Source organism: Homo sapiens, chromosome 2, assembly GCF_000001405.40.
Source record: "Homo sapiens chromosome 2, GRCh38.p14 Primary Assembly".
Classification (NCBI taxonomy): Eukaryota; Metazoa; Chordata; class Mammalia; order Primates; family Hominidae; genus Homo; species Homo sapiens.
Window position 1 is genome coordinate 165,761,111 of NC_000002.12, and position 13,103 is coordinate 165,774,213.

General features: G+C 36.2%; 1 protein-coding gene across 5 annotated transcripts in view; it reads right to left on the reverse strand.

Annotated features, from left to right (window-relative positions):
* Positions 1-13,103, reverse strand: part of GALNT3 (polypeptide N-acetylgalactosaminyltransferase 3) — a 47,105-nt gene that overhangs the window by 13,523 nt on the left and 20,479 nt on the right. For 4 of the 5 annotated variants that reach the window (XM_011510929.2, XM_017003770.2, NM_004482.4 and 1 more), the window contains exons 2-4: positions 9,076-9,698; positions 3,774-3,946; positions 795-944 (exon numbers count right to left, since the gene is read on the reverse strand). In XM_011510929.2, coding sequence (XP_011509231.1) covers positions 795-944; positions 3,774-3,946; positions 9,076-9,590 — 838 coding nt within the window. In that variant the 5' untranslated portion in view covers positions 9,591-9,698. Of the gene's footprint in view, positions 1-794; positions 945-3,773; positions 3,947-9,075; positions 9,699-10,154; positions 10,583-13,103 lie in introns of those variants that run through there. The other variant, XM_005246449.2, reaches the window with a different exon arrangement.

Below are 13,103 nucleotides of genomic sequence, written 5' to 3' on the forward strand. Positions count from 1 at the left end.
AAATTTAAAAAAAAAAACACACACACAAACTAAAATATAAAAAAAGCAGCAGTACTAGGACGAAGTTTAATGATAGGGTGGATTATATTCACTCACTCATTCATTCATTCATTCATTTTGAAACGGAGTGTCACTCTGCTGCCCAGGCTAGAGTGCAGTGGCACAATCTCAGCTCACTGCAACCTCTGCCTCCCAGGTTCAAGCGATTCCCATTCCTCAGTCTCCCTAGTAGCTGGAATTATAGGCACATGTCACCATGCCTGGCTAATTTTTGTATTTTTAGTAGAGACAGGGTTTCACCTTGTTGGCCAGGCTGATCTTGAACTCCTGACCTCAAATGATTCACCAACGCCGGCCTCCCAAAGTGCTGGGATTACAGGAATGAGCCACCACGCCCGGCTACATTTAAATAGTAAATAAGCTTTCATTCACTTTAAAGTGTGGGAATCAAGAAAACAAACAAACAAACAAACAAACACTTTTTTTTTTAACAGAAAAGAAACATGGAAAAAAAAAAAAGAGGCAAGGATAACTGGCTGGAACAGCTAGTAACTGGAGAACACTGAAGTTGAGGAAACTTAAACACAAAAGGAGATAAGAATTCTGCATAAGTGAAAGGAATTTTCTCCACAGAGCTGTTACCTGCTTGGGCTGTCATTGCTATAATCGCCAGTTGAAAACGCTGTTAAAGAAAATGCAATTAGGCATTTAGAAAAGAAAAGACTTCCTTACCTTTTAAATTAGAGGGAGAGGGAGGGAAAATGTTACAACCATATCCATACATATATACTTACAGTGAGCATCTAAAAATGTGAGCGTTTCAGCTGTTGCGACTGTTGCTCCTAGCAACCGAGCAGTGATCAGACCTTTTCTTTCTCTTTGTCTGACTATTTTTACTATAGAAAATTGTTTTACATATTCATCTAGTTTATCATGTAAGTACTCTGTAAGGAAAAAAAATCAGGGTTAATTCTTTCTAAATGCATTTTCATATATAGCTTATGAAAGCTAATGAAACCACAGAGCAATGATCCTTCCAAATTCATAATCTTAACAGTTGCATGTGTCCTTCCAGCAAAATGAAAATTTTATCTTTAACTCCTTACTGGGGAAAAAGGCTAGCTATGCAAATTATCACTACTGTAACACAAAACACTGTAATGCATACTTATTCTGTACACTTCCTATCAATAAATATAATGTGTTTGGAGGGAAGTGAGAAACTTCAAATGGAGTCAACCCTAGCCGTTCAAAAGACTCATTTAGAGGTCTGAGAAGACTGACTACAAGAGTGAAAGATATGGAATTTGGCCAAAAAGATATTCAATGCTTTGAAATTGGTATTTAAATCTGGAAATCTTAAAGAAAAATGTCAAATATCTAAAGACCTCTGATATTTAAGCAAGGATCAAAATAATTTAACACCAAAATGTTGAGCCACGTCAGAAAGTCCACAGCTATAGCAGTTTGGGACGATTCCTACACAGAGTCAGCAGAAAAATTTGCGAAAGCTTTGGAGTCTCCTGACAGTTTTATTTAGTAAAATATGAAACAGGCAAATTTTAGTATTGGGTATATACTTTAAGATATTCAATATACCAAATTGGATAAGGTTTGTAATAAGCAAAATTTGAGATCATAGGTTTTAAAAAAGTTATTAACAAATGTCAATCCAGTGTTGTTTTTTTGTCTGGTTTTGTTTTGAGACAAGGTCTTGCTCTGTCGCCCAGGGTGGAGTGCAGTGGCACAACTCACTGCAACCTCCGCCTCTGGGCTGCAAGCAGTTTTCCTCAGCTTCCCAAGTAGCTGGGACCACAGGCATGCTCCAACAGGCCCAGCTAATTTTTCTTTTCTTTTCTTTTTTTTTTTTTTTAGAGACGGGGTTTCATCATGTTGCCCAGGCTGGTCTGGAACTCCTGAACTCAAGCTATTTGCAGGCCTCAGCCTCCCAAAATGCTGGGATTACAGGTTGAGCCACTGCGCCCAGCTGTTCATATTCTGAAACAACTTCTTAAGCCTGTTTTTCTCAATTAAATTTTTGATTTCTTATTGAGTACAAAATGCAGTTCTTCAAGCAGCCTTCTTGGGCCCAAAACATAGCCTCAAAAAAATTTGGGAATGTTAAGAAAATCAATAAATGTCCTGGGGCAAAAGTTTGCTTCTGCCAGATTTTAGAAGGAAATGCAGATGACTTTGACTTTATCTGTGATAATATAACCTTTTTTTCAATTCTCCAGTGGTTCAGTTAAGAGAGCTGCTTATTTAAAGCTTAAACATTCATAAGAGAGGAAAGTGCAGGAACAACCCTTGTAGAAAAATAAATCTATCTAAACACTGTTGTCTCAGAGTAATAGATTAACTTTTTAACACCTTCTAACTACCTCAAAATAATTCTCAGATTAAGCTTTTAACACCTTCTAACTACCTCAGAAATAATTCTCAGAAAGACAAGCAGAATTGTAACTCATCTTAAATATATAATCATAAACATTTTCTGTTTTAAGAGGCTTGTAAAAATTTCAACATTCTTGGTTAGAATTATTTTAAATGGAGTTACTACAGATTGCTTCAATATACCCTCTCACTGTTGGAATTTGTTAAAAAAAAATTTACTTACCCACAACATATGAACTTCCCGTAAATTTATATCTGCACCCTAAATTTAGCTCCCATGCACACCCTTTATTTGGGAGGTTAAGAACAGAAAGCTACATGAAATCAGATGCCCTGATTTCACTTTATGGCACAATTACTTTTAGCTGTGTGACCTTGGGCAAGGAATTTTACCTTTTCTGCGCCTCAGTTTCTTTAAGATGAGGATAATCGGACTCACCATCACAAGACATTGCTGGGAGGATAAAATGAGATATCTGACCTTCAGGAATCTAACTCCAAACTTGGATTTATTAAGGAATAAATTTTGTAATCATTGAAATAATATGTATCTGTTTGACACAATATTTAAAATACTTATGATGTTTGAAAATTTACAAGTTAGAGTATTTGTTAAATTAGCCTTGTGATTCCAATTTAAAATGTGTAATTTAGTATTTGACTTCCAATTTTAAGTGGAAATGTACTAAAGAATTTGACTAACATTGTAAGTAATATTGGAATATTTAAGAACACCGAAATAAAATAGAACATGGTGACTCTTTTTAACTATTCATTTATATTATTTATTGATATTTATATTAACTCATTCAGTCTTTAAAACAACTCTAGAAATTATGTACTAGTTCTGTATTTCCTCAATTTTAAGCTACACAATTGGATTCTTCTTATAATCAATTTCTTATAATCAATGGCATGTTAAGTTTAATTAGCTGTGGGTTTTCTCTAGTGATTTATAAATTAACAACACATAATATATTTAATGAAATATGGCATTATTCCCATTTTGCTGATAAATCACAGCAGAGAGGTTGAGTAACTTGCCCAAGTCATATAGTTGGTTAGGAAAAGAGCTGGGATTCAAATCAAGGCAGCCTGACTCAAAGGCTCAAGTCTGTGCTCTTAACCTCTATGCCTTACTGTAACAGTCTCACATTGAGGACTACATAGTTATGAATAATGGTGTTTCATACATTTCTGCATTTGAAAATATTTGAATATGTCCATCCTTGGATTCTAATTTCATTCACCATACCCACTATCCAAACTATTATATTCAAGCTCTGAGATGGCATACAGAGAGTACCACATAACCAAGTAGACTGTAGATACCACAATATGGATTTGGGAAACAATCTAATTTGCATGTGCTTTCTTACCATCTACACTAGCATCATCCACCAAAATGATTTCCTTCAGCAGTATTGCAGGTGAAGAATAGAGCACACTGTGGACAGTTCTAAGCAACGTGGACCACGCTTCATTATGAAAAACTATTATGACACTGGTGGTGGGCAGGGGAGGGCAGCGCTTAAATTTTTGTTCAATACATCTAGAAGAAGTCAGAGAAGTAGAAAAACAATTACAAATTTTATTATTTTATTTCACAGCTATACCATTGCTAACATTATCATTATTGAATCTTTATCACTGAAAAAGGATAGTTTTCTTGTATGTGATATAATCTCAATGCTATATAAAATGTAAATAAATCAAAACAATTTTTTTACAAGCAAATCACTCACCCAGAGATGATGTCTACCAACAGAGATGACAACATATCAAGGATTACAACATGTTATTATAGCTTTCTCAACAATGTAATTTTAAATGCAAATAACATTTTAAATAATGAAAATAACCTACAATGAGGCAGCATGTAAAAATGACAAACCCTTATAATTGCTCAAATAAAAACCAAATTTTTCTTATTTCATGCAGAAATCATTCATTTTTCATATTTGCAACTTTAAAAATTGTACCACTTTATTAATTTTTTTTTTTTTATGGAGTCTCTCTCTGTCGCCCAGGCTGGAGTGCAGTGGCACGATCTCGGCTCACTGCAAGCTTCACCTCCCAGGTTCACGCATTTCTCCTGCCTCAGCTCCCGAGTAGCTGGGACTACAGGCGCCCACCACCACACCCGGCTAATTTTTGGTATTTTTAGTAGAGACGGGGTTTTACCATGTTAGCCAGGATGGTCTCGATCACCTGACCTTGTGATCCACCCGCCTAGGCCTCCCAAAGTGCTGGGATTACACACGTGTGCCACTGCGCCCACAATATTAAATCATTTTTATAAAGATTATCTTTAATTAGATATTTACCTAAGTATGTAATATAGGTTTCTTAAGTATTTCCTAGGTTTATTGAATCAATTTACTTAATCTATACACAGAATCAAAAGGGAAAAAATAGCTTTATTGTAAAACCTATGTTCTTCTTATTTTTATTTAAAATAGAGACAGTCTGTGATGTTGCCCAGGCTGGTCTTGAACTCCTGACCTCAAGCAATCTTCCTGCCTAAGCCTCCCATAGTGGTGGGATTATAGGGGTGAGCCATCATGTCCAGCCTAAACCTATCTTTTTATGATGTTCATCATTCAGCAAATACTTATTAAGTACTGCCATTTGCCATGTGTTAAAGATTTTGCTCCAATAATTTGATCTACTATCAAATAAGACTAGCGTTTAAAAAAACCCTTTAAAAATACGTAGAAATAAAGATCTAAATAAAGACCTAAATCCATGTTAAAAGTCCTGTGCTCATGTCACCATCTAAAACATTGATTGGGCACAGGGAGAGAGACCCTAAGTGCCCTTGACTGATTAGTGGTACTACTATCCATTAGTTAAAAACATTACTTATAAATTGATCTCAAATTCATTTGTATAGGAATGTCTTTCCTCAATGAAAAATATCTTCATATTAAGCCACTGGGGTGCAGGAGAGTCTGCATAGTCTCCAGCCTTTGAGGCTAGAGATGTAGAGATAACCACAGTGCCAAGCCTGCTGAATGGAGGTGAGGATTAAATGAAAGAACATATAGGAGAGGGCTTCAAGTCACTGGGACATAAAATAAAACTGTGTGAGGTTTATGGGAAAGATAAGCAAATAAAGCAACTATATCTTTAAGGTCACTTAAAAACCATAAATTGGAGATAAAAGCCCATCACCCTTCAGTTCCTCTGCCAGGGCCAATGGGGAAACTGTAGCCTCCAGTGTGATATTAGGGGCCTGAGAAAACTGCCCTAAAAAAAGATACACAAATTATCCCATTAATTACTTTCATAGTCATACCTCAATAGGAATGTCTCTGATACCCTTTTTTAACAGCAAGTCTTTAGAATGGATTATTTGTAGTGATTAAAAAAAGGAGTTGGATTGGGGTAAAATATCAAGAGAAGATGTCAACAACAGATTAGAAAAAGGAGAGGATGGATTCTGAGTGAAAGTGGCATTGCTCTTCAGTTTCTTCATGATTTCAAAGCATGATACAGGTGCATGGGCGGAAAAAATAAGCACCTTCTTCATCATTCATAAATAAAAACAAATTATTTATTCTAAATTGAATTTTGGATAAACTACCAATTAATAAAAAAGCTCAAACACAAACTATTAATATACACACTTGAACCACAACTACACAGAAATAAATGACTAAATATAAGCTTATATTTTGAACCCATAAAAGTTTATAACCAACATAAACTAGAAGTAAAAATTATGAAAAATTCCATATTGTGGTATTTTATTTTTAAAGAAAAAAAAAAGAGGAAACCTATGATTTGTTATAAGCATTTTGAGGAGAAAGTGAAATTCTGAGTATAAGATTTTTTTCCTACCTTTATTTGCTATGTGGTTAATTAATATAGTATTAATCGATAATTATAAAATGGTTTTGAAGATTTAAAGTATAAAATTTCACAAAAATTCATACTAGTAAAATGTTATCACTTTAATCTTGCAAGATTTTCCGTCAGTTTAAACTAGGATTTATTTGCTTAACTGATAATTACCAATATCAAGTACAAATGTCATATCAATACAAGTAATAAAATTTCACAATATAATTTCATAAACCCCATTCATTTTGAAACAACATGTTAAATGTATGCTTTGAAAATTGTTTTACATATTTAAAATAGTGCAATTAAAATAACTTGCCAAAGTGACTGTATCATTCCAGTCAAACCATTTGAAAAACCTGGCACATAGAAACATGCTTAAATTATCAGTCACATGACCATCTGGCTTTGGGAGAAACTAGGTCTATATTTCTAATGAGCATGGAAAACATTAGCAGTTCTTCAGAAAATGTGTTATTTGCTGATACTGGTTACATTCAAAGTAAAAAACAAATCTTTTTTTTTTTTTTTTTTTTTTTGAGACAGAGTCTTGCTCTGTCACCAGGCTGGAGTGCAATGGTGCAATCTCGGCTCACTGCAACCTCCGCTTCCCGGGTTCAAGTGATTCTCCTGCCTCAGCCTCCCAAGTAGCTGGGACTACAGGCGCACATCACCATGCCCACCTAATTTATGTATTTTTAGTAGAAATGAGGTTTCACCATGTTGGCCAGGCCAGGCACAGTAGCTCATGCCTTTAATCCCAGCACTTTGGGAGGCCAAGGCGGGCAGATCACGAAGTCAAAAAACAAATCTTTACCACCTGTACAAAACCCTGTCCAAAGTAAGAAATAATTAAATCTTCACTCCAACCAAAAAATGTTGTTAATGTGCTTACTTGTTTTTCACTTACTTAGCGATTAACATTATTGAAAATTATTGCAGCTTCTTAATGCTATATTGGGAGAAAAAAGCTCATTTTGAGCTGTCACTGATTGTCATGTCAAAAGAATAAAAATCATGATTATTGATTTTTAATGTAGATTACTTTTCAATCAAAACCTCTCTTCAAGTCAGTAAAGTGCAATACTGCATTCTAATCTATTACTGTATGAAAGGAACTATAATGTGCCTTGTTATATCAGCTAGAATATTTTATAGATATTAGTTTCTTTACACATTCATTTAAAAATTATGAGCAACCTAAACTTGAATCAATCAGATTAGAATAGCTCAACAGAAATCTAAGCTACACAGTTTCAATGTTAAGGGACTCATATACTTGGATCCAGTATTGATAATCCTAAATCTAGAAAAACCTGAGTGAAACAATAGACCAAAAGTTATCTTCAAGTTCACTGCCAAATGTAATTCTCTAATATCCAGAAAGCAAAGCAAAATACACAGGCATTGTTTGCTTCCAGTTTGCTTATCTTGTACTCTTTTTTTTTTTTTTTTTTGGAGATGGAGTTTCGTTCTTGTCGCCCAGGCTGGAGTGCAACGGCACAGATCTCCGCTCACTTCAACCTCTGCCCCCAGGTTCAAGCAATTCTCCAGCGTCAGGCTCCCCAGTAGCTGGGACTACAGGCACACGGCACCCTGTCCGGCTAATTTTTGTATTTTTAATAGAGACGGGGTTTCACCATGTTGGCCAGGCTGCTCTCAAACTCCTGACCTCAGCTGATCTGCCCTCCTCGGCCTCCCAAAGTGCTGGGATTACAGGTGTGAGCCACCAAACCTGGCCTATCTTGTACACTTAAAAACTTACTGAGGGGCTGGGTGCAGTGGCTCACGCCTGTAATCCCAGCACTTTGGGAGGCTGAGGTGGGCGGATCACTTGAGGTCAGGAGTTCGAGACCAGCCTGGCCAACATGGTGAAACCCTGTCTCTATTAAAAATACAAAAATTAGCCGGACGTGGTGCCACATGCCTGTAGTCCCAGCTGCTCGGGAGCCTGACACTGGAGAATCGCTTGAACCCAGGAGGCAGAGGTTGCAGTGAGCCGAGATCACACTACTGCACTCCAGCCTCAGTGAAAGAGAAAGACTCCATCTCAAAATAATAATAATAATAATAATAATAATAATAATAAATAAATAAATAAATAATCTGTTGAGGGTGGGCCAGGTGCAATGGCTCATGCCTGTACTCCCAGCACTTTGGGAGGCCAAGGCAGATGGATCACCTGAGGTCAGGAGTTCAAGACCAGCCTGGGCAACATGGTGAAACCCCGTTTCTACTAAAAATACACAAAATTAGCCAGCTGTGGTGGCGGGCGCCTGTAATCCCAGCTACTTGGGATTGTTTACAAAAAATAGGGCATTCTGAAATATAATTAGGTACTCAAAAACTTTGAGTCAAAGTAATCACAAAGTCTGTGAATTGCTTTACACATATATAAAATATTATCCAACAGTTCCAAAATCTTGGCATGTTTTTAAACATTTTTATTCTAAAGAAATACAGAGAAATGGAAACAATTCCTCTACCTTCTACTTCCTATACAAATTGTCCAATAATTCCCCCTAAATAGATGAGAAAACCACAGTATTTAGGAATAAAGAATTTCCTTGTGGATAGCAGTCAGATCTAGAATTCAGTTTTCTAATTTCCAAGCTAATAACTTTTCATATCTGCACTGCCTCACCAAGCATAAATAGGGATATGTAGCCTCAATCATTATAAGCAAAAAATAAATACAACAGGTTAAATAAACAGTATTTGCTGATTTTCTGCCTTAGAGTAGCTAAAAAACAGATAACTTCCTTAGCTCACCCCTCTCTCCCCTGCAAAGCCTGGTGATAAAGAATAAACAATAAATATTCTTCAACATACTCAGGAGGTCGAGTGTCTGGTCCAAGATCTCGGTGCAAAGAAATCCTGTCACTTGCGAAAGCATTAAAGCAGTGTTTAGCTTCCCCACGTTCCTTTTCCTTTTGCTCTTCAACACTTAAATTGGTTGTCTTGAATGCTTTACCAGAAGCACCAGGTGCATTTGAATCCTGAGGTGGACGGTCAAGGACAGGCTTCAATTCTGCTGCTGTATAATATCCTTGCAAACAAGGTCTCTCACCAGCATCAATGTTTTGCCTGACAGGTGCTCCTATTTGCATTTTTGGCATGGCATCCTTAATATTGTTTACAGCTTCTAGCATTAAATCCAACATCTTGTTTTTGTTTTTCATGTTCCTTTCCATCCTTGATTCCTCTTTGGAATATTGAACACTTACTTCTCTTTGCATTAAAACCAAAACTATTATAAAGAAAAAAATTACTGCACCAAGCTTCCAGAACTTTTTATGGTAATGTCTTTTAATGTGTAATTTTACTAGTCGCTTTAGGTGAGCCATTCTGACATTAAAAGCTTGTCACTTGACAAATAACAGTTATTTCTTCTTCTGTTACTTATATTTTTTATCATAGATTTGCTGAGAAGAAGGTATCTTTAATGGTAGTACCTATAAACAGAAATGATCGATGGTATTAGTAGCTATTCAGTCCTACAGGCATGGCTCAATTCATTCATTTAACCAACAACTGAACATAAGCTACCAATGTACTCTTATGGTTAATGAGAATACAAAGATATCTTGTCCTCAAGAAAATTACACTTTTGGAAGAAAATAATTGTTACAATTTACTACAATTTATTGGGGTTGCAAAAATATTGATATTCCTCTCCATTAAAAAATACATTCTTTTTAAACTCTAATATCCACTATATACTATGTATAAAATTAATTTTATAAATATATTTTGAGTTAAAAAAGAATATCTTCACTTGATAACCAAGGAATCAAAGGACCTCATTAAATAAATTACAAAAAAGAGAGCTCCATAAGGAAGTAAGGGTATACTGATAAGTACTATTAGGCATCCATCTAAAATAGTGGCCTTCATTTTATGTAGTTTACCCTCAAACTGTGATCTGCTCCAGCTTAATGAATGATAATACAGCAGTTTCATCAGTAAGTAAACTATTATTCTCCCAGATTTTCCAACCCAATAGTACTTGTGACTCCTGAAGGAACCCCTAAAAACAAGAAAATCAACAGCATTTAATTTGTTGTTATATAACAGCTAGTTTTAATAGCTCACAGAAATACAAGATCTAATAGTAAAAAGAGAATTCATTAGCTTTACTTGAAGTGTCTGTAGGGAGCCTATAGAAGTCATAAAGTTAAAAAAGCAGAATTTGGTTTGATAAAATATTGCTTGCAATTGACCCTAAGAACAGGACAGCAAGTTTATTAAACCCTAATATGGGACAACAGGAGCAAAGGAAAAGAAAAATAGGACTTTTTAGGAAACGATTACATACTATGAGCCGCGATAGCCAGTCAAGAAATTTGCAGGGACGAAGGGGAGGGAAAATGCCTGTTCTTCCTAAGGTCTAAACATATTTTAAAGAAAATATCATTTATAGCAATGAAAATTAACTTTTGACACCTTCTTTAACTTCTCTTCCAAAGTTCTCCCTAAATTTAAAATAAGAAAACCAGGTTCTAAGATGGATTCTCTGGCTTTTGGCAGGAAATTTTAAGCTGAATAAACAAAATAGGCAGAACTTAGTTCTATATACTATTTCTAATTGGAGTGCTCTATATTCTTTTCAGTATGGAGTGGATACTTCTGCTCCAAAAGATAACCCCAATTCTGACATATATTGCTCATAAAAGTGAGATTCCAATCTTTCTGAGGTTTGGTTGCTTTAAGAACTTCAGGTAAAAAATGAAATGACCTCTTAAGCTTTTGAAAAGAATATAAGAAGTTATAGAACCACACTATGACAGTTGTGTAATTAATTATGTGTCAAATGTTGTGGTAGGCTATGGTTAAGAAATTAAAGATAGCCCTTACCTTCAAGAAGCAGAATTGAAATATAGGAAGCCAGAGGACAGTCACAAAGCAGTGTGATATGTGCTACGACAGGAGACTAAGAAAGCTACACAGGCTTGGAACAGTGGCTCATGCCTATAATCCCAACACTTTAGGAAGCTGAGGCCAGAGGATCACTTGAGACCAGGAGTTCGAGACCAGCCTGGGCAACATAGCAAGACCCCATCCTACAAAAAAATACAAAAATTAGTCAAATGTGGTGGTGCACGCCTGTAGTCCCAGCTACTCAGGTGGCTGAGGTGGGAGGATGGCTTGAGCTCAAGAGGTTAAGGCTGCATTGGGCTATGATTGTGCCACTGCACTCCAGCCTGGGTAGCAGGACAAGACTCTGTCTCAAAAAAAAAAAAAAAAAAAAAAAAAGGGAAAACAATGTAGAAGGTCAGGAGAAATGTTAAGGAAAGTTTCCTAGAGATGACACTGTTGAGCAAAATCTTGAAATACAAGTACATTTTAGGCAGTTAGACAGGAGGGAAAATAGGGAATGTCAGATGCAAAACCATAAAAGCAAGAAAAGGCATGGTCAGTCCTTGAGTACAGCATAAGTGGAAGGCACAGGGAGAGAATGACAACTGATGTGGCTTGAAGGTCAGTTAAAGATCAGTTCATAAAAACCCTTGTGCATCTTTCAGTGAATTTGGAAATTACCAATTTTTTCCAAAATAGATGGAATGGAGAGGACTGTTTTTAAGAAAAGACCACAATCAAATTTATGTTTTAGAAAAATCACAAGTTTTTCAGCCCCAGTAAAGGTGATAGATATTAATGAGATGAGGTGGGTCAAAGGATGGAGTGGAATGATTTCAAGAGAGTCCAGGAAGTGGAATCAAACAACAGGACTTGGTGAGAGAAAGGGAAGAATGGGAGATGAATGGTGATATGGTTTGGCTGTGTCCCCACCCAACTCTCACCTTAAATTGTAATAATCCCCATGTGTCAAGGGCAGGGGCAGATGGAGATAATGAATCATGGGGGTGGTTTCCCCCATACTATTTTTCATGGTCATGGATAAGTCTCACGAGACCTGATGGTTTTATAAATGGGAGTTCCCCTGCACATGTTCTCTTGCCTGCCATCATGTAAGACGTGCCTTTGCTCTTCTTTCACCTTCTGCCATTATTGTGAGGTCTCCCCAGCCATGTTAAATTGTGAGTCCATTAAACCTCTTTTTCTTTATAAATTATCCAGTCTCTGGTAAGTCTTTATTAGCAGCATGAGAACAAACTAATACAAATGAGTAAAGTGATAACATTAACAAAGGCAAGAAACACAGGAAGGATAGATTCAGGGTAGGAATTAAGGAGATAATTTGTTCAGTTTTGGACATAGCAAATGTAATATGCTAATGGAACTTCCAAAGTGAGTTTCCAAGAGCAAAAAGATATATGGGACTGGAAATTAGGAAAAAGTTCTGCAGTAGAGATGAAAATTTGAGTCAGTCTTGGGGTAAATGTAAAACAAAGAGGATAGAGAAATACCTACATTTAAGAGTAGAAAAAAAGAGACTGACTGGAAAGTCCAATTTTTCCAATCCTATGAAGGAGGGGTGGTAAAAAAAAAAAAAAGACAAATGAAAACACAGATAAATTATCCACGTCAAGTGGAAGTAATTTTACAATCTTATCTCACTCTTGAGAGATGTTAAATGTGCAACAGTTGGTTGACCTTTAAAACTGAACTTCATTAGACCTGGCCTAATGGGCTTTAGTGAAAAATGAGAAGAGAACCTTGGCAGAGAGAGTAGTTGTAGTCATGCCTTCAAGATCCTAAGGCTTAGGATTCAGGGCACTTCCAGAATAATAGGGCAGCAACCTCACCTATGGGGTTCCGGAAGATAAGAATGGTCAAAATGTTGGGGTCTCACAGGAAAGTGGTTCCCAGTTGATGAACTACAACCTCATCCCCTCTAACTGTATCTTGACAAAAGGTAGATATTCATCAACCTGTGTTCACCTCCTTTCTGTTCC